The 23,084-nt window shown below is 37.7% G+C and overlaps 1 long non-coding RNA gene across 13 annotated transcripts in view; it reads right to left on the bottom strand.

Annotated features, from left to right (window-relative positions):
- Positions 1-23,084, bottom strand: part of LINC02955 (long intergenic non-protein coding RNA 2955) — a 491,729-nt gene that overhangs the window by 416,601 nt on the left and 52,044 nt on the right. The window lies entirely within an intron of this gene.

The raw sequence follows: 23,084 nt of genomic DNA, 5'->3' as shown, positions 1-23,084 counted from the left end.
TTAAGAAGTAAACCTGGGAGGAGAAGGAAGGACCTGTGAGAGAAAGCAATTGTTTTCATCTTAGAATATGTTACAGCCAGCGATGGGAAGACCAGAGCTCTAAGAAAATAGATTTTTAAAGATTAGTTGGGTAGGATTCCTTAGACAGAAACTCTGAGAAGGGAGATGGCTCAAGAGGGAAGAAAAACTCACAGAAATACAATTCTGACAACACAATGTCAAACAATCCTACTGAGGAAAAGAAAGAAAAAGACATGGCAATCAAATGTAGGTGAGCTGCAGACAAGTGTCATGGAACTAAAAAAAAAAAAAAAAAACACCACCACCAAAAAAAAAAAAAAAAAACAAAAAAAAAACCAGAGTCTAGTAGGCTAAAAACAAGAATAAGAAAAAGCTTTCAAAAATGCTATCAATCAACAAAAAGGGCTTTTTTTTTTCATTTTGAAGGAGATGAAGGCAATAAAAAGAAGGGGTACATGGCTTGAAGCTGCTGAAAGTGAAGAAATGATAAAGCCTAGGATATCAGTTCCTGTTTTGTTTGTATCTTCTGTAAAGAGAAATGCCAGAAAACCCCAAAAGGCAAGAATGAACCTCAAAGGTAGAATTAAAGAACAAGATGGGGCAGAATCATGCTCAAAAATGGCAGCCAACTATATTAAACAAGCAAAGTGCTCCTGACCAGGTGAATTCCATCTCAGGCTTCTGAAAGAAATCACAAAACGAAGTGGCTAAACCCATGAGAATTTGCATTGAGGAAAACTGGAGAAAAGGAAAGGCATTAGAAGGTAGAGACAAGCTAAGGTTGAGTTAATATACTTAAAAGATGAGAAGCAGGAGAGTGTGGGTTTCATTAATTAAACTCTTTTAAATTCTGTGTTGATTGTGGGCAAGGCAGGAATTGAGAAAATCAAATGAGATCAATATGGAGCCAGCATGGATGTGGGATGAACAATTCAAGCCAGACCTAACTCATTTTCTCTTTTGATAAAATTACTAGAGCGGGAGACAAGGAAAATGCTGAAGACATATGTGTCTGAATTTCAGTTAGGCATTTGACAGGCTCTCTTATTTTACCCTTGCAGGGAGTAGTTCCCAAAATGGTATCTGCAAAGAACAGACTTCCATAGGATATTCATAGGTATGTAAGGAGTGTACACAAATACATTTGGAAAATATGAGTTAAACAAAATATATTTTTTTTCAGTATTTTGAAGAGTAATATACTGTATATGATAACATGCATTGTAGCTCTCCAAGAAGAGAATATAGTGTGCACCATCTCCCAAACTTTTTCTAATATAGCACCTATTTCTGCTTAGGTAAATCTATTAATATCATCTTGAAATGAAATTTGGAAAATGCTTTATTGGAACAAGAAATATGTGCTGAATAAAATCAACAGTAGAAAGTGTATTGATTATTAGATCCACCATACCCATGAACAGAGTTCTGACTTGGAGAGGTCTGCAATGGGGTGACACAAAGTTCCGTCCTTAATGGTGCCCTTAACATCAGCATCATTGACTTGTCTGAAAAATGGGTGTCTATTTTCAAAACTATGTATACTATAAAATGGAAAGAGGTCATCAATATGTCATCTTATAGAATCAAAATCCAAAATGATTTCAATTGGATGCAACCATAAGTTGTTTATAAGTTGAATAATACATGTAAAATTCTACATACAGTTGAGGGGAGGTACAAATGCAAAATGAGGGTAGGTTGAGGGAGAAGAAAAGTTAGTAGCAGTGACCCGTATGTGCAAAAAATTCAGATCTGGGGGAAAATCTCATTATAAATCAACAGTACAATGTAGCTACAAAAAAAAGTCCTAATATGCTCTTAGACATTAATCGAATTATAGAATATGGGACAGTGGAAGCAATAGGCTATATCTGCTCTGCTAACTGTGTTCTGCCTTAAGGGCCATTCTTCAAAGACACACTAGCAAGCTGGATAGGATGGTCACCAGTAGAGTGAAGGGGCATGAAATTGTGTCACGAAGCCTTAAGAAATGAGGCAGAAACTAAGACTGCTTAGTCTACAGGGGGTGCACTGAGAAGGCACAATAGTGGTCTTCAGATATTTGGAGGATTGTCCTGTGGAAGGAGAAATAAACTTCTACAGAACAGAGCTGGGTTGAGTGAAGGCTCCAGGAAGTATGGCTTTGCCTGAACTGATGCTCACAGAGTTGTTTGAAGCTGGGCTGCCACTGACATTTGTGAATTGCCTGTTGCTGGTGTGTCCCAACAGAAGTGTGACAAATGCTTAATGGAAATATAGTAGAGGGGACTCATAAGAGAGAATGTAGGGACAAGAGTGACTTTATTTTAAATGCTAATCCACCATGTGACCCCAAGTCCGGGAATGTCTCCAAGATGTCTAGCTGATGTATTACTCTTATGTAGAAACACCTATTCGCTGTAAGTTTTGCCTTTTCTCCAAAACAGTACTTGATGTTGCATACATCATAGGCTACAGCCACCTCCACATTCCTTCCAGAGCATGTATACTTCTTCCCCAAGATAGAAGCTCTCAGTCAGGGGTCAGGGAGGTTACAGTGTAAAAATATACCTGTTTTGGCCGGGCACGGTGGCTCACGCCTGTAATCCCAGCACTTTGGAAGGCTGAGGCGGGTGGATCATGAGGTCAGGAGATCGAGACCATCCTGGCTAACACAGTGAAACCCCGTCTCTACTAAAAATACAAAAAATTAGCCGGGCGTGGTGGTGGGTGCCTGTAGTCCCAGCTACTCGGGAGGCTGAGGCAGGAGAATGGCGTGAACCTGGGAGGCAGAGCTTGCAGTGAGCTGAGATCACCACTGCACTCCAGACTGGGAGAGAGAGTGAGACTCTGTCTCAAAAAAAAAAAAAAAAAAAAAAAAAAAATATATATATATATATATATATGTATATATATACCTGTCTTACAGTCACCCAAGGCTATGCTTCTGTCTATAAGTTCCCCTATATTGCCCTATACCACCAAAGTGGATTTATCTGCCTCATCCTTTGGTTTCCAGGTTCCTTCTGTGTTTGTGAGCCACTTTGCATATATGGCCTTTTCGTGGAACAGAGAGAAGTGGACTATATGGCTTTTAGCATTTTTTTTTAATCTTAAGATTTATAGTTTGGGCTATAGACAAAGGCATGGTGGTCCTCACTTGATGACCCAGAGTTGTTGGAGAGAATGAAGAAGTCAAAACCAAGTCCAGAATCTGTACACTAGAACAAAACTCAAGGGAAAAGTAGGACCTAAAATCTTAGTCTCTTGGCCCTAGTCTCTGGCCTGAGGGCAGCCAGGCCACTCTAAAAGAAAGATGGTGCCACAGCTTTATGTCAGGGTACCAGATCTTAAACCCTATCAAAGAGTTTGAGTTTGAGGCTGTTGACCTGCCATGTCTATTGCCGACACCAGAACTAGCCCAGTAAGTGAAACAAAACTGAGTCTCTGGGGATGTATGGGTTAGGAGAGGTACTGAATCTTCCCAACAGTGAGAAAAAAAGGGGTAGCAGACGCTTGAGAAAAAGTCCATTACCTTATGATGGATCTTGGACCTTGCAGAAGATTATCTCTAATGTTACAATTTTAAATTAAACAGCAGAGATTTTATTTCAACATTAGACTTAAAATGGAAAAAAAAATGGTTCCCTATTTGGGTACAAAAATAAATTCACATATGAATTTATTTTAAAAATCATGGATCAGCCAACTATAAAAGAGAATAAGTGGATTGAACTTGAGGAGATGACTACACCATGGAGAACTGCATTAAAATTCAAAATAGCCAAGAAAAGCTAAATTATATAACACACAAAAATAAGAAAAACCATAATAGCAAAAGTAATAAATAATAATAATGATAGCAAGCACTCTGCAGCAGGCACTTTTCTGCGAAGTAGATATGGTGGTAAACTTTTACTCCCACAACAACCCTAATGTAGCTACGATTATTATCCTCATTTCTACAGTGGGAAATCTGAGAAATAGAAAGGCAAAGTAACCACAGTAAATACAACCAAAGGGTCATATCCCTAAGCAAAAAATATAAAAAGCACAAATTCAAAATGGGGCACATATTTAAAAAGAAAAAGATAAAGAATGCTAGAACCCCGAGATTTGCAGGGTACAGAAAAGCAGCATCTCCTATGCTGATGGTAGGAGTATAAACTGATATAGCATTTCTGGAAAGGAATTTGGCAATAGCTATAAGAAGCCTTAAAAATAACCATTTTCTTCTTCAATCCAGTAATTCCACTACTGGAAATTCTCCTAAAGAAAAAAAGAAAATAACTGTGAACAAAGAATTCTCTATAAGATCATGCATTGTGTCATTGCTTATAATGAGAAGCAAATTGTTTCAGTAAAATATGAAAGCTAGAAATACCAAAATGCAATATATTGATGCAGCCAATATATTTACACACATGTAACAATACTCCCAATATTTTCTGAGTGAAACACAAAGCAAATTTGTTCTGAAAAAAATCTGAAGATGCATGTTTCAAAATATAAAGATGAATGATATAGTTTATCTGAATAGTGAGACTGTCAGTCAACATTATTTTCTTTTTTTGGAGTTTTCTGTGTTTTCAGATATTGTGACAAAGGGCCAGTTACAGGAGAAGTGACATAACACTGTGATTAAGTGTGGTCTCTGGAGCCAACACATTAGGGTTCAAATCTCAGCTCTACTGTTACTCTCTGGGTGACTTTGAGTAATTTACTTAATTTTCTTATCCGTAAAATGGGAATTAAAAACCGTCATAGAGTTGATGTGGAAATTAAATGAATTAATAGATGTAAAGCACTTAGAACAGCACCTGGACCCTGGTAAACATTAAAAAGAATTGGTAACTAGTTTTACTGCTTATAATATTAAACAAATTCACAACAATAACAAAAATTTGTCATCGACCAGTTTTTACAGAATATAAAATCCACAACTTTTAACCTGTACATTTATGAATTTTCAGAGAAAAGAAAAAAACAACATTCCACTTCAAATAAGAAATCCACTATGTTACCAAGAGATGATGTAGGTGGTCACACACACAGTCATTTTTGTCTCAGAGAGCACCTGTTTGTTGTGTCTGTGTCTGGTATTGAGGTATTTTATAGTCATACAGCTATTATTAGCCGTATCATTTCCAGTCAAAAAGCAGCAACTTTAAAGTATAGTTCTAAGAAGTACATGATTATGATGGAAGGGAACACAGAAAATTATTTTTAAAAGTTAAAGTAGTGAAAAGATGATGAAGTGGTACATTAGCAGGTGAGAGGAACCATTGGGTCATAAGAAAAATTATTTAGGTAAAAGAACAAATCATGTGACATTTGAAAAATGCCAGATCTATTTGATTAACAGACATTAGCAGCAGATGATAACAGATTTGGATACAGAAAACAGGCAGGAAATTTTGAAGACATGGCCAGAAGAGGAGCATCAAAGCTTGGTGTCAGGCAACCCAATTCATCAAGATTGGTTATTTGAGAATTTAAATGTTAAGTGTGGTAAGCATGCTGCAGATTAGACCTTTGTTACAAACCATGAATGAATCTGTTGGTCAAGGCCTCCTTTGAATCAGTCCAATTTCCTATGGAGTGGAAATACGGTAGCAATTTCACCAGAAGCACTAAGGAGGTCCCCCACCATGCTTACGGAGAGTCAGAGAGGGAGTTTTAACGGTCTCAATAGATTTGCAGTGGAGACAAAACTATCTATTTTGAGAAAAAGTGTCTGATAGACTGCCTACCAATAGGGAGAATTGCATGCCTTGTTTCAAATCTTCAAACATATTTTGTGAGAATGTGCTGAGAAAAATGCAAGTTTAAGCCCCTCTCAAGAATATTACTATGGCCTTTCTGTTCATTATAAAGTTAGTCCAAAAGCCTATGTTATACTTTTCATGTGGTATTGTGTCATTCTGATTTATGTGCAAATGGACTTAGGAAAAATTTTTTATAAGTAAAGAGGCTTCTGTTCTTAGCTTCAGTGAGGTCCCCAGAAAACTTGGAAAAAGGAAAAATAAAAACCACCCAATGAAGACATCATGCACAGATATGCAAAGTCACCTGAAGGAGGTAGCAAGTTTCCTGGGACAGCAAGACCAAATATAAATACATTAATTGTTTTAACTCATCCAAACAAAGAACAAATTAAGCAAAAGGAGTGCTCATCCAAGATGGAAGTGTGGAAAATATTAATAGAAGAATTATTGAGGCAAAGGCTGGCAGTTTATCCTGGTGTTGTCCAGGAGAGAGGAGATAAGGCTAATGGATTTTGAACATGCTAGCCTTGTAGCTAAGGCCAACTCTAATGGAAAGATGGATACATCTTATTATGTCAGGCTGATTCCATTAAACATGCAATTCATCTAACTCTTCTTATTCTATGTATTCAATCAATAAGCAACCTTCAGATTATGAGCTGGCTTCCTATGTAGATATCCCTACAGAGACATAATGCTATGTTGATGAAGCACATGATAAACATTCTGGTCCTTGTAAGCATAATTTCATATTGTATACAATTAAATTGGCTGAGTATTATTTTGCTTTCTGTCTAACTTGACAACAGAGAAAATCCATATTGATCCATACATCTGAGGTCATTTTTCATTGAAATTTGAAAAACTGGCATTATTTTAGACATCAGTCTTCCTAAAGTTGGTTAATATGAGTCAGCTCCTAAGAGATGGATCTTCTCTTGTTATACAGACAACGCAAGACTGATGAGCTGACTTTGGGCCCAGGTAACTAAGGCCACCATGCAATCCCTGCTGACCTACCCTGATATCACTGTTAGCAGCAGGCAAGTATTCTACGTTTCTACAAGGAGTAATTCAAGAATTCTCTCTGTACTCAGTGGTGGTCCTCTTGGGCTCCACCAGAAGACTCATACATTGGAGAGGAACCAGAGGAAAGCAACACATATGATCTACAAATTAACTAGGTGTTTTAATGCTAGAAAATACAAAACTGAGAGGAACAAATAAGAAATAGTCAGAGCCATGTGACTCCAGAAAAGAGTGGCCCTAGCCATAGCTGACTGAAGACGGTAGAATCCAATTACTGTGTCTTTTTAAACACGGTCCATACTTGGGCACTGGTGTAGGAACACTGAGAATCTGACTGAATTTATTAAGATACCCTGCCTAAAATATAATACCACTTGTTGTCCATGATTGTTATCGATCACATGGATGCAACTGTGCCAAGTTATACAATGCTATCATTCATTTTGAATTCACTGCAGAAACTGTATAAGTATCTGTCCCAGAGTAATTTGAATGACTTCATCTACACGTGGAGATCTTTCTTCCTCTCCTCCAATTCATCCAGACTCCATTTCTGATATGTTAACTAACAAGAACAATTGATCTTATCAAGTCAGATTTTTTTCACTATAAGAATCCAAGTAACCAAAAAAGCTCCTCAAGAGGTTCACAGAAAGGAAGTAGTTAAATGATAAAAATGTGAAACGTTATGCAGCAAGCTGTGTACAATTAACTAGAATTCAAATATACACCTTGTTCCAATCCAAGCCATTTATCAGATAAAAATAGTCTGCTACAAGAATGTCATGATTAATGAGGTGAGACTCCAGCTAATTACTGTTTCCTCCAGAAGTAATTAGGTTGGCATTGCTAATCAAGACGAATGAACACTCTGACCCGCTTTTTTAAATGTAAAACTATGAGCCGCTACTGCAATAACATCATTTAGTTCAGGCAATGTAGTCTTTATTAGGCTTGTAGTTTGATTAAATTCTTTTGTTACACCAGGCTTTCCACACATGAACAGATGAATGCTGTGATGTTCAAAGAGTTTTTCACCCTTAATTAAAGACTGAAAAGCCTTGTTCAATTCACAGGGCAATACATAGGACAGCTCTAAATTGATAGCTTTTAAGTCGAGAATAAGGGAAGGATTCTTAGGGCTTGCCCAGCTGTGAGAGGTCTCCTCCTCCTACTATAATTCCACTTATTACGTGGGAGAAATGAATGTGAAATACTTTCATTATATTTTATTAAACAGCTTTTTCATTTCATCGCAGCCTCTTTTACGGAGCACAATGCGTATATCTGTACTTCCTTATTTTTTAATGCAATTAATATAAGGGAGTGGGGAGTAGAGTGGATTCAATACCACTAATAGAACAAACCGCAGTGTGGAACACAGGTTTCGGTGAAAGCAGGCAGAGTACGTGTTGCTGATTCCCGCAGTTCACGTTAAAAGTGACTAACGTTTCATACTAATGGTTATGGTGAAGGAAAAAAATATTTTTTTTCAAGATATGATTCTATTTCATTCTCTGTCGAGCAAAGGGGCTAATTTGATTAGCGGCTAAATTTATATCAGTAAACTCTGAAGATGATCACTTATGAATCTTTCACACACACAAAAAAAGTCAATATCTTCACCCCTAAATTTGTTAGCTAGAGGCTAAAATCAGGTCTTGGCAAACTCATCACTTCCGCACACTTAATAGGTTTCTTCATCCGCCTCCCCTTTCTTCACTCCTTCACCGATTTCCATTTTCTGTTTCCTCATATTTTTCTATAGTTATTCCAAAAGGGTAGGATTATCCTCTCCACCCTTCCTCTGCCAGTTGGTTTATATTTCCACTTGCCAGGTTGGGAAATCCTATTTTTATATCTTCTACTTAATTATATTCCCAGTCTAGAATGTGCTGTCTCCTCTTTGATTGATATGCTTGGACCTCCTGCTGCTTTGTTTTTCTCTGCGATTTTGTATACAGGAGGATAAAATAATCTTAAATTTTGACACCTCGTCTAGGTCTAGAAGTCAGTTTCTTTTTCGGGGTTTTTTTACTTGTAGAATTTCATAAATGGCTTTTAGCATTAGCCATCTCCATTTTTTTTTTTTTTAAATCCTGTCGTCATTTAGAAAGATCTGAATACGGCTGACCTCCAGGCCCGACACTGCGTGTTCTCCTGAACTCCTTTTAACAAGCAGCAGAAGCCAGCCCTGCTAAGCCCCATGCCTGACAGAGACACAGAGATGGAAAATGGGCCACAAAGCCTCTTTGTTCAAACAGAAAACCCAGACACCAAAGCTCACGAGTACCAGGATAGGTAAATGCAACAGGACATGCCCCACTGCTCGAGGGTAATTGTCAGGGTGTCATTAGACACGACACTTCATTCTCTTTCCTAATTTTCCAGTTGGGTTTTGAATTTGTCATAGTTCCGTGTCATTTACTTTACTCCATCGTTATTCTACACCAGGCTGCCTTCCTTAAATGTGGCTCCCCTCGCGTCGACGGGGAGCGTTAGATTTTGTCCTAGGATCTTGTATTAAATAGCTCCCAAGCTTTTTTAGACTTGTCTCTCGGGTTCTCTCTTTTCCTTGGTGCCTGTCTGTTTAGCACAAGGATAGCTCCTGTTCTGCCTGATAAACCCAAGCTGGTATCTTGTGCTTTCTGCCATGTGTTATTTAATTAAAACATGTAGTTCTTTCTTGGTCTTCTAAATAGTTCTGGCACCATAATAGTGACTGAGACTGGGGGCAGCAGTAGGACTTAATATAGGGCTCTTGACCTTGATCTAGCCTTTTACAGTTTTATAAATTTTGTTTGTTTTATTATATAGTCTCAACTCCTGGTAAGAATTAAGAATAAGCTCTTTGAGTTCAGATAAAGTACCATGGACTTCTAATATACATTCCTAAGTCTACATTCTTATTTGACTGAATTATACTTCCTAAAAAAGAAGAAAAAAAAAACCTCAAAAAAAATTTCTATGACAAGTTATAAAGAAGATAGTATCTTTTAAGTTGGACTCCATCATGATATTCGTTGAGTTTATACAGGAAAAATGAAGATAAATACTAAACATTTAGCAGAATATCTAACAATAAAGTCATTCACAATAGTAGCCCTCTTCTTTTATTCTTTTTCAATAACACACAGTTTAATTGAATTACTCCAATTTTTCTCTAATTCTACACTTCACTTGTTTGTTTTACAGATATTGCATGGAAAATAAAAGTTAATCTAATCCCTCCCAGCCTCTAATCTAAACCCTCTCAGGCCCCCTGTTCATTTGTTTCCTAAATTACAGTCTCTCTGTGTTTCTAACCCAAGGCTGTATCTTTGTGATTCAATTTCCTAATGATAAAGCAGGATTTTTTTAAACCTTGCTTTTACTAAATTCATAAGAATTACATGAATAATAATAGTAAATAATAGTAGCTGATCCTGAGAGTCATGACCTTGAGGAGTGAGCAGTAAAGAAAATTCTATTAAGGTAGCAGCAAGAAATTTAGAAAGTCTGAATCCTTTCTGGGGGTAAACTACAGATGGACAAACAGTGGTTTCTTGAGTAAAATAGGAGAGTGAGAAAGCCAGGACTTTGTACAACACCAACCTACCAGGGCCAAGACACGAACCCAGCCAACAGCAGGGGCTCCAGCAGTCAAGCAAGGCAAATGTCCAGAAAGAGTGGCAAATTCCGTCTTGATTTAGGAAACTGTCAGCACAAGGTTGCAACAGATGGTAGCAAGGTCCCAGCACAGAGACATGGAATCCAAAAGACCATTGATATTTGGAAGTTCCAAGTGCAGCCATTTCTCATGTAAGACCATCTATCTATTTAAGTTGTAGTCACTGGGAGGGAGGAAAGAAGTCCATACACAGCAAAAACAGCAATAGCCTTATGACCCTTATTACCTTCCTGAGGTTCTAAAGCAGGACCCAGAACCTCCGGAAGAGGCTGTAAGATAAGATTTAAAAGAAAAAAAAAAAAGCATTAGCCTAGGCCTGGGCACTGAAACACACAGGAGAAAAGCAAATTGCATACAAAAATTAGCTGGGCATGGTGTTGGGTGCCTATAATCCTAGCTACTCGGGAGGCTGAGGCAAAAGAATCGCTTGAGCCTGGGAGGCAAAGGTTGCAGCGAGCTGAGATTGCACCATTGCACTCCAGCCTGCCTGACAAGAGCGAGACTCTGTCTCAAAAAAAAAAAATTGCAGGAGGATCTCTGGGGCCAACTGGTCTGCAGAGATATAATCAACAACCACTCAACAGCCATTTAATAAGTACACAATGTACACTGCAAAAACTAGGGTTTCAGCCATCATAGAGTTCACAGATGAGTGAAGAAAACCAGAAAAGTCACTAGCTAAAGTACGAAAAGTGCTATAATATAATATTATGGAATAGTCACTAGCCTAGTCTGAGCTGTGGAGGGGAGGGTGTCAGGAAGAACCTCCCTAGAGAAACTCATGTTTAAGCTAAGGCCAGACCCAGGATCTTTTCTGCTGTAAAGGAGAACCCGGGAACAATGCAGGAGACCCGGATTCAACACTAGAGCATCCACAGCTACACCTACCACATCCGAGAAAAAAAAAAGCATACATAGAGGAAATCAGGAAAATACATTACTTATTAATTACTAGCTATGGATTAGGTCCTAAACAAGTGCATGGAAACCTTGATCCTGGTGAACTGATGTAAGCAGAGAGGAATACTTTTTCTTGGATAATAATAAGTCTAAGCAATCTAGATTAACATTTGCCAAAGTATATTCTATGGATCACTAGTCTTACAGAATAATCCATATCAAAAAGGATCATATGGGCAAGTGCCTTTGGAAAACTTTGAATACTGTTACCATCTCTCAGAGAATCATGAATCATACTTTATATGTTTATTTTATTTAAATTATTAAATAATTACATCGGTTATTACATATATGTATATAGTTATGTAAATGTCTGTATCAATTCATGTAAATAAGTATATATTGATTATATATATTCAAGGCACCAAAGATTTACTGTTAAGAAATGTGTTTGAATTTTATGACCATAGTATTTCCCAAACTTACTTAACCATAGAACTCATTTTTGTGTAATAATCTTTACTGTGTCTTGGAATTAGTGTATCTTACTTCATGAAACAATGTTTTAGACTTGGTGTCAGAAAACTTATTTTGTAAAGGACCTGTCTTAATCTGTTGATGCTGCAAAAAAAAAATACCACAAACTGGATTACTTAGCAAAAACAAACATTGTGTTTATTTCTCACAGTTCTGGAGACAGGGAAGTCCAAGGTCAAGGAGCTGACAGATTTGGAGTCTGGTGAGAGCCCACTTCCTCATAGACAGTGCCCCCCTTCCCCACTGGCTATGTCTTCACATGGTAGAAGGGGTGAGGGGTTTCTCTGGGGTCCCTTTTATCAGGGCACTAATGCCATTCATGAGGTCTCAGCCCCCAAGACCTAATCACCTCACAAAGGCCACAGCTCCTAATATCATCACCTTGAGGATTAAGATTTTCACATAGGAATGTTGGGGGGAAACAAACATTTAGACTATAGCATGGCCAGATAGTAAACATTGACAGTTTTGCAGACTGTACAATTTATATCACAATCAACTCTACTGTTGTAGCACAAAATCATTCATAAACAATATGTGAGTGAAGGGCAATGACTGCTTTCTAATAAAACTTTAGTTACAAAAACAAATATTAGGCCACATTTGGCTCATGGGTCAGAATCCAAACCCTGGCCTAGACAAGGAGACATCATCATTGGTCTTATACCAGCGTTTACCCTTAATCTCTTGGTGACTGGGATGCTAAGGTACAGTAATAGCCAACCTGAGTAGAGATGACATTAGGCCTATTCTACCTAGAAAGGCGAATCCAAAAAGAGGAGCTTAAGAGTGGAGAAATGAGAAAGGTCAAGAGATTACACCAAACAAAAACAAAAGGTTTTTATTTATTTCCTGAACACATGGATACCTCCATCGCTTTGCACCATGGACTAATCATATCTTTGGCCACATCTCTTGTCAGCACTTTCTTGGGTAGAGTGAGTGGGAAACATTTGAGGTCCCTTGGAGTAAACATGCATAAATGCTTGAAGAGAAATTGAGGAAAGCCAAGACTGGGGGATAAGAGCAGAGGTGAGGGTTGTCACAGCTGCCTCTCTTCACTATTCCTTCTCCATATCTTCAAGTAGTCAATAATCTGGGTCTGCCGTAACTATAGGGTGATAAGGCAGCTTTATGCTTTTTGATATTTTCCAAATTTCCCCCATAGTCCAAAATTCTACCTTTTTAGAATTAGAGATGGGGTCTTGCCATGTTGCCCAGGCTAGTCTTGAACTCCTGGCCTTGAGTGATCCCTCCGCCTCACCCTTCCAAAGTGTTGAGATCACAGTCATGAGCCACCATTCCTGGCCCAAAATTCTACCTTTAGAGATATTAAGTGAGAAACATAGTAAAGACATTGAAACCAAACAAACCTAGTAAAAATGAACGTTACCTAAAACAAGTACAGCACCTTCCTATTAGTTGATTGGAACAGATACATTCATCCTATTAGCAAGACGATTTGGAGTCTCAATGCGATAAGGTTCAAATTAAATTTCCTTGTGGTAAAGCACAGAGATGACTAGCTATATGTATGAAGTTCAGCATGAGGCTGTTGACCTCATTATCACCTCTCGGCCCTCACCTCTACCCACATCCCAACCTTCCTTTACCTTTTTCTTCTTTTTGGTGTTTAATACAGAGTTTTTGCGGTAATTACCTTCTAAACACAAGTATCCCTCAGTACGGCACACTTATTGGGAGATGTCAAGGAGGGATGAAAGCTAGGGAATAGGAGCCTTTGGGGAAGGGTCAGTAAAGAGAGAAAAGCTTTGGAAAGGGCCCCCTTACACAAAGCTGAAAGCATTATTAGACTAAGTTCTACAACATTGATTGAGCTTAATCTTGCCATTTTATCACTTAGAAGGATTTTCACTCACATGTTAAGGAGGCAATAAAGGGAACGTCTCTCTAGGCTTAATTCCCATCAGTGAATTAATAATGGAAATCTTATAGGAAAATGATATGTCTTCTCGGAATCCAGAAAATAAAAAACAATGAATGCTAGGAATAGTCAGATATGTACTGTCTATGGTCTATCTTTTTGGATTCTCCTTTCTGGGTAGAATAGGCCTAAGGTCATCTCTATTCAGGTTGGCTACCACTCTACCCTCAGACCACCAGAAACACACTTGCGGGTAAACAAAGTTGAGTTTATTGACATATTACAATTCAGGAGAACACACACCATAGAAGACCGTGGGGCATCTCAGTAAGAAGGTGTTTGAGTGTGTTATAGAATTTGAGCTTGTCATAGGTGCTTTTGGGGAGGATTCAAGGAAGTGAGGCTTTTCTCTGAATTCAATTCTCTCAGTACATAAAGGTAATTCTTGTGATTGGGTACCTTAATAATTTGAATCTATAAGGTGAAAAGAACAGAGTGAGTCTAAAGTTGTGATTCAAAAAGAAGCAGTTGTCACTCATACTAGCCAGAATTAAGAGATGTTTGGGCATTTTTGTGACTTTGGAAAATGCTCATGTTTTTGCTATGTTTGGACATGATTGCGGAGTGGTCTTATTTTTGGCTTGATCCATCACGGTCACAGAGTAGAGGTGTCTAATGTTACTGTTCTCTAGGGTTGTTTACATTTCACAAGAGAACACTGTGGCCTAGCTGAGAGTGCCAGGTCAATTCCGAGCTGCTTTTTCCTTTCTCAGTACAGCATACTTGAGAAAAGCAGATTTGAGAAATGTCAGAAGAATGATAAATGTGATTCAATAGGCATAAGGACTAAAGGGAAAATTGTTTGAAAGAAATGAGAAGTTCTAAAACATGCAAGTTAGGCTAAGAGGGATCCATTAGCAGAGTGCAGCTCTGCCAAGATCTGAGCCAGGAGGAAGAATCTTCATGCAAATAGATCAGGGAAAGTAGCTCTCTGACAGGGAGTGAAGTCAAAGCAGTGAAGATTGCAGGCAGGAGAGTGAAAGAAAACAAGGTATGTCCATGTTGAAAGGGGAAATTAGGAAGTAATTACAGCTACAGAGCTGTTGCAGCTTCATGTTTACTATGGCCTGATCTGCTTTGCCAGGTTGAGAACGGGTGATACTAAATAGTATCATGAAGTAGTGGAACGTCTGAGTTGAAGGGGAATTATGTTCCATTTTTTCCCCTCCAGATCTATCCGCCATCCTTATCTGCTCCACAGGAGGCTGACACTCCAAGCCATGTCCACAGATTTCCTTGCCTTCTGGCTTCCAGTGTGATTTGGTCAATGGGAGTCGCCAGCAGGAGATAAGAGGAAGGGAGGAAAATGAAATGGGGTGTTGATTTCCCTGGATTCCTCATTGCTGGGTCGTTGTGCTGTTCAGCCCTTTAGAAAAGGCCACATTTCCTGCCAAGCAGTCTTTTCCATACCATCTCCCTCTGGGCTTAGTGTTCATTCCATCCCTTGCCTCTCTAGACCTAGGAATAATAACAGCCTGCTGCTATTGCTAACTTTGAGGTCCTACACCTTTCCTGCTCCTTTCCTAAATGGTTGTGAGAGTTTCCTTATTAATCTCTTCTCCTTTATCTAGTTGAGCATACCATCTACTCCTGCGGTATTCTGACTGACACTAAAGTAATGTAGTCCAGCATTCCTCCCAAACTAAAAAGCTCTCCAGGGAGAGGATGTCACCACATTGGGTGACAGGCTATTCTGTTTCTTCTCATAGGTTCTTGCCAGCCAACATTATTTTTTTGTTTTTTCACTTGCATAAGTTCTTTAAAACTTGGAGCATTTAGGCGCTCTTATGCTACTTTGGATTTAAGACACTCCTTTCCTCCCTCATTGATTTTTACCTGACATTGCATTACCTAACTTTCATGTTTTAGACTTCTCATCTTTTTCAAACAACTTTCTTTTTAGTCCTCACACCTATTGAATCACACCTATATTTCTTCTGGTATTTCTCAAATCTTTCATAGGGCAGGAATCTTCATTTTGTTCTTCTTTTTTAAATTTGATGTAGCCATTTGTTAACTTTATTATACATCTTAGGATGTGTTTCGCAAGTTTCTCAAAAATTCAGTCAGAGTCTAGCATTAAGTTTGTAGATTAACTGGGGGAGAATTGACACCTTTACTTTGATAAATTCTCTCATCCACCAATTATGAAATATTGTTCCATGTACTGTTCCATGTCTTTAATAAGATTACAAAATTATTTATACTAAATTATTATGTATTCTTGAGAGTTTGATTCCTAGATATAGCATAGACTTTGTTGTGATGTGTATGTTATCTTATATTCTGTAACATTTTTAGTTGATTTTTGCTAAGGTAGAGAAACACTACTGATTTTCCCTTAGATCTTTTATCTGGTAAATTTGCTGAATTGTTATTAGCATTATTTCTAGTAGCATTTTTTGTTGGTCCTGTTGGATTTTCTATGAAGATCATCGTATCATATGCAAATAATAATTTCCTTTCAAATCTTATATAGCATACATTTTTGTTGTCTTATCACATTAAACATGACTTCCAAAAACATGTTACACAGTTGTAGTGATACTGGTTATCTTTGTCTTGTTCTTGACCTTAATGGACATGTAGCTAAATTTTCTCCTCTATAAATAATATTTTTAAAGGTTTTCAGTATATATTACTCATAAAGCTAAGAAAATATCTTCCATTACTGGTTTATAAGATTTCTAAAAATTACATATTGATACTGAACATAGTTAAATGCTTTTTCTGCATCTATTAAGATAAAATTTTTCTTCTTTGTTTCATATAGCTGGTAAATTATGCTGATTGTTTTTCTGTTGCTAAATCATCCTGGCATTCCTGGGATAAAATATTAATAATGAATCATTAGATTCAACTAGCTAGTATATTATTTAGGATTTTTACATCTATGTGCATACACTAAATGGGTGTGTGTATATATATACACATACACACATACACATATATATATAAAACTATGTATATATATATATACACACATACATACACCGTGTATATATATACATATACACACACACACACACATATACACACACACCATATCTCTATATGTAGTGAGTGAGAGTACTTCACTATGCAGTTTTGAGATTAAGGTTATTCTAGTTATGTAAAGGAAGCATGGCAGCTCTAAATTGTTTTCTGTTATGGAGCAATAAGAGAGAGATTATCAGATACTTAAAATTTTGATAAAACTTATCTGAAAAATTGTCTGAGCCAGAGGATTTTGAGAGAGAAGATACATGATTTCCATTTCAATTTTCCAGTTATTTACTTTTTCTTGTTATTTCATTTTTGTCATCTTATATTTTTTCAGAAATGTATCTACATTGTCATCAAATTTATTGGCATATACTCACATTTTTTAAATCCCATATCTAGAACAATGTCTTCATTTTTATTTATTTATTTGCACTTTCACTTTAATTTTCTTGATTAGTCTTGCCAAAGACTTATGTATCTTTTCATAGAAAAACTTTTTGAGTTCTATTACTGTCTATTTATTGTCATCTATTTCATTGATTTCTGTCATTATGCTTTTTATTCTTTTTCCTTTGGGCCTTTTATATTAGTATCTTTTGAACTTCTTGAGCTGAGTGTTTAGCTCAGTGTAAAAACAGTATAAGTACTTTAACTGTTATACACATTATATCATGTAATTTTTCACTATTCTCCCATTCTTTTTAAATTTACTTAATATTTTATGTTTACTATAATGGTTTTTATAGCAATACTGGTTTCTAGAATTAAGTGATTAAGTGATTGTTTTTTTTAAAGAGATGGAGTCTCGCTATGTTGTCCAGGCTGGTCTTGAACTCCTGGGCTTCAGCAATCCTCCCATCTCTACCTCCCAAAGTGCTAGGATTACAGGTGTGAGCTACCACACCTGGCCCAGCTTTAGGAGATTTTAAAGTTATCATTTTATTATTGGCTGGTAGACTGAAGATATGGTCAGCATGATCTTGATTCTTTAGAATTTATTAGAACTTCCTTTACAAGTCACAGTTTTTGTGTATGTTTCTTGCATTCTTTTTAAATGTGTATATTTCCTAAGCCAGGCACAGTGGCTCACACCCGTAATCCCAGCACTTTGGAAGGCTTACGGGGGTGAATCACCTGAGGTTGGGAGTTCAAGACCAGCCTGGTCAACATGATGAATCCTGGTCTCTAATAAAAATACAAAAATTAGCTGGGTGTGGTGGTGCACACCTGCAATCCCAGATACTCGGGAGACTGAAGCATGAGAATTGGTTGAACTGGAGGTTGAATAACAGCAGATAAAGAATGACTTGCTGCCCCGCAAGCATTTCCTCCTGCTCTTTCCAGCATGAGAACTGGTTGAATTGGAGAGTGCAGTGAGCTGAGAGAGCAGCACTGCACTCCAGCCTAGACAACAGTGAGACTCTGTCTCCAAAAAAAAGTGTATATTTCCTGCTATTGAAGAAATCTATGTTGACATATAGATTTACAGTATATAAATAATATATGACATCTATAAAACTTTATATCCAGTAATACATTTTATGTATAGGTTTAAGCAAATTAATTATACTATTCAAACGTTCTACAAAGTTTTGTTATCTCTTTGATTTATTGTTTTCTAAGAAAAGTGAATTAAAATTCCAATCATGATTATTAAGCCATTTATCTCACCTCATATATCTGTCATTGCTTTGTATATTTTGAACCTATATTGTTAAATATATGTGTGTGTGTGTGTGTGTGTGTGTTTATTATATCTTTTTATCTGTTTACCTTTTTTGCCATGTATAATGTCTCTCTTCATTCTTTATGACTTTGGCCTGATATTAAAATCATTTCTAGTTCATATTTACCTAGCAAATATTTTCATTTCTTTAAAATTTCTGTCTTATAGACAATATATTATTGTATTTTAATATATTATAAGATATTCCTGCTATCTCATTTCATATTTTCTATTCACTTATTTATACCTTTTCCCCTGCTTTTCTATCTCCTATTCAGGAAATCAAAATTTCTTCTACTGAAGAAAATTTTAAGAATTTTGTTTGGATTCTCTGGCAGATGCCTCTATCTTAGTAAGGCCCATATTCATGTCCATTTGTCCCTATCAATATACTAAATATCTAATACTTCAGAATATTTTCCTGCAAAAGGAAAAAGTATTTTTATCACACTCCCTGTCTTAGTCTGTTTGGGCTTTTATAACAAAGTACCACAGACTGGGTGGCTTATAAAAAACAGAAGTTTATTTCTTACAGTTCTGGTAGCTGGAAATCTGAGATCACGGTGCTGGCAGGGTTGGGTTCTGGTGAGGGCCTCTTCCATTTGCAGACTGCCCACTTCCCCTTGTATCTTCACATGGGAGAGTGAGCTAGCTCTCTGGCTTCTTCTTCTTCTTTTCTTCTTCTTCTTCTTCTTCTTCTTCTTCTTTTTTTATTCTTCTTCTTCCTCTTCCTCCTCCTCTTCTTTTTTTTTTTTTCTTTTTGAGACAGAGTCTTACTCTGTCACCCAGGCTGGTGTGCAGTAGCGTGATCTTGACTCACTGCAATCTCCACCTCTTGGGTTCAAGCAATTCTCCTGCCTCAGCCTCCCGAGTAACTGGGATTACAAGCGCCCACCACCACGCCCAGCTAATTTTTGTATTTTTAGTAGAGACGAGTGTTCGCCATGTTGGCCAGGCTGGTCTCGAACTCCTGACCTCAGGTGATCCACCCGCCTCGGCCTCCCAAAGTGCTGGGATTACGGGCGTGGGCCACCACGCCTGGCCTGGCCTCTTCTTATAAAGGCACTAATCCCATTCTTGAGGGCTCTATCCTTACAAACTAATTATCTCTAAAAAGCCCCTCCTCCAAACACCATCACATTGAGAATTAAGTTTCAACAAACAAATTTAGGGGGATGGGGAACACGAATATTCAATTCATAATACTCTCCCTGTAGTTGCTGTACCCTACCTCCCATCTGTGGCCATGTTGGTATATACTATAGTTTAGTTCTGAATTATAATAATACACTTCTGCTTCTTTATGAGGAGACCTTTCTTGTTTGGATCATAATAAGCTTTCCTACATTATTTATAACCTGTACTTCTTGTATCAATTAAGCATCCTCTTGGATTTATTTCTCTTCTTCCTGGGCACTTCTTCCAAGAAAATTTTCAAATATGGTCTTTATGTGTCAAAACTCTAAGACCATGTCATAACCGAAAATATTTGTATTGGGATTCTCCATTGAAAAGATAGTTTAACCTAATATAAAACTATACTTTAAACAGACTTTGGAATTAGAGATCTGGGTTTTCATCCCCATTCTACCACTGTCTGTATTACATTGAGCAAGTTGCTTAACATCGTGAGCCTCACTTTTCTCATCTGTAGTGAAAGAATGCTGATATCTACTCTGCAGCATTGCCAGGGCAATTGGTGATGTGTGCAAAGTAGTTAGAATGTAGCAGGTACTCAATAAATGGTAGCCACTAGAAAACATAAAACATTATAGTTTGAAGTTATTTTCCTTTAACATGTTGGCATTATTACTCCATTGTCTTTTTGCCTCCGGTATTGCTAATGAGAAGTTTAATTTCAATCTGATTTAATTTTGTGAATCAACTCTTTATATCTAGAAGCTTTCAGAATTTTCTCTTTGATGTTCTTAAATTTCCCATCTCTAGGTGTGAGATTTTTCTTATTTTTCCTATTTGGTACCCCATAAACTCTTTAATATAACTATTACTCATTGTTATGGAGTAAATGTGTCCCTCAGATTTCATCTGTTGGAAACTTAATCCCCAATGTGGCAATATTGAAAGGTGGGATCTTAAAGAGGTAATTGGATCACAAGAGCTCTGCCTTCATGAATGGATTAATCCACTTGTGGATTAATGGTTTAAGGATTAATGGATTAATAGGTTATCATGGGTGTGAAACTGGTGGCTTTATAAGGAGAGGAAGAGAAACCTGAGTAAGCAAGTACCGTATTCAGCCCCTTTGTCATGTGACACCCTGCACTGCCTCAGGACTCTGTACAGAGTCCCCACAAGGAAGATGACTCTCATCAGACACCAAGCAATGCCCCTGGACTTCCCAGGCTCCAGAACTGTAAGAAATATATTTTCTTTTTATCTTTTTAACTTTTATTTTAGGTTCAGGGGTACATGTGCAGGTTTGTTATGTAGGTAAACTCATGTCACAGTGGGGTTGTTGTACAGATTATTTCATCACCCACGTATTAAGTCGAGTACTCAAGAGTTATTTTTTCTGGTCCTCTCCCTCCTCCCACCCTCCACTCTCAAGTAGACTCCAGTGTCTGTTGTTCCCTTCTTTATGTTCATGAGCTCTCATTGTTTAGCTCTTTCTTATAAACGAGAACATGCAGTATTTGGTTTTCTGTTCCTGTGTTAGTTTGCTAAAGATAATAGCCTCCAGCTCCATCCATGTTTCCACAAAAGACATGATCTCATTCTTTTTTGTGGCTGCATAGTATTCCATAGTGTATATGTACCAAATTTTTTTTTATCCAATCTGTCATTGATGAATATTTAGGTTGATTCCATGTCTTTGCTATTGTGAATAGTGCTGCAATGAACATTCATGTGCATATGTCATTTCTTTATATATTACCCAGTTTCAGGTGTTCTGTTATAGGCAACAGAAAATAAATTAAGACATTCATCTTTACCTAATTCTGGAAAATTCTTGGTTATTATTTTTTGTTTCCTCACCTCTATTATACTTTTTTCTATCTTTTTGAGACCACGCCATGGATATACTTGCACTTCTTATTTATCCTTCTTACCATTATTTTTTCTTTTTTTTTTAATTTTTTATTAATTCTTTGTGTCTTCTGCAAAATATTCTTAGACTTGTTTTATGGTTTACTAGTTTATTCTTTGCCTATGCCTATAACCTCCATGCTACTTATCCCTCACTGAAATTCTTGATTTTGTTATAATTTTTATACTCACTCTTTCCATTTGGCTTTTCATTATAACTGCTCCTTCATGTTTCATATAACCAAAATTCTCTCATCTCTTTGAGGACACGTATTATATTTATTCTAAACTCTGTATCTGTTTCATTAGTTCTGATCTACCTATTATAGACAGCCTAGTTTGTTGTCTCTCTTTAGGCATGTTGTACTTCTCAGCTATCTGGCTACTGCTGCCAATTGAAGCTTATCTTCCCCTAAAAGAATTATCAGGCCCGGTGTGGTGGCTCATGCCTGTAATCCCAGCACTTTGGGAGGCCGAGGCGAGCAGATCACCTGAGGTCGGGAGTTCGAGACCAGCCTGACCAACATGGAGAAACCCCATCTCTACTAAAAATACAAAATTTTTAGTATTTTTTTATTACAGTCATAGTGGTGCATGCCTGTAATCCCAGCTACTCGGGAGGCTGAGGCAGGAGAATCGCTTGAACCTGGGAGGCAAAGGTTGGGGTGAGCCGAGATCACGCCACTGCACTCCAGCCTGGGCAACAAGGGCAAAACTCTATCTCCAAAAAGAGCTGAGATCGTGCCATTGCACTCCAGCCTGGACAATAAGACTGAAACGCCATCTCCAAAAAAAAAAAAAAGAATTATTAATCTTAGCTGAAATATGCAAAGCTCACACACAGCTTCTGCTCTCTTCATAGGTTTATGAGGTGTAATCAACTCTAGGCCTGGGAGCCCAGGGTCTTCCCCAGTCCTTTTTATTGCCCTCTTTCCTGCTGACCCTGTTCCTTGGGGGATATTCTTATTCCTCTAACTTTGAATCTGCTCTCTTCAGAGGACGTTTCTTCCTCGACATATTGGCATAACTTGGGGCATGAAGGGGTATGGAAAGAGCAGGAGGACATGCTTGGGGGGCAGCAAGTCATTCTTTATCTGCTGTTATTTGCTCCTCACTCAGGTCAGTCTCTGGAATTGCCCTTCTGTTGCCACAAAAGCCCTCAAGGCACTAGGCTGGCTCTACCATTTTCTCTCTTCCACAGTTACGTGTGAGCAAACGTTAATCCATCCAGGGCAATATATCCAGAAGGAAAAGTATACAACTCAGAAGTTCTCTCCCAACTCATTTCCCAGTTCAGTTCAGTCACACACACACACACACACACACACACACACACCTTCCCTCTTTTTTTTTTTTTTGAGACGGAGTCTCGTTCTGTCGCCAGGCTGGAGTGCAGTGGCACAATTTCGGCTCACTACAACCTCTCCACCTCCCAGGTTCAAGCAATTCTCCTGCCTCAGCCTCCTGAGTAGC

This window comes from Homo sapiens, chromosome 12 (genome assembly GCF_000001405.40).
Source record: "Homo sapiens chromosome 12, GRCh38.p14 Primary Assembly".
NCBI classification, from domain to species: Eukaryota; Metazoa; Chordata; class Mammalia; order Primates; family Hominidae; genus Homo; species Homo sapiens.
The sequence above is the reverse complement of the archived record's forward strand: the minus strand, read 5'-3'. Positions and strand labels throughout refer to the sequence as shown.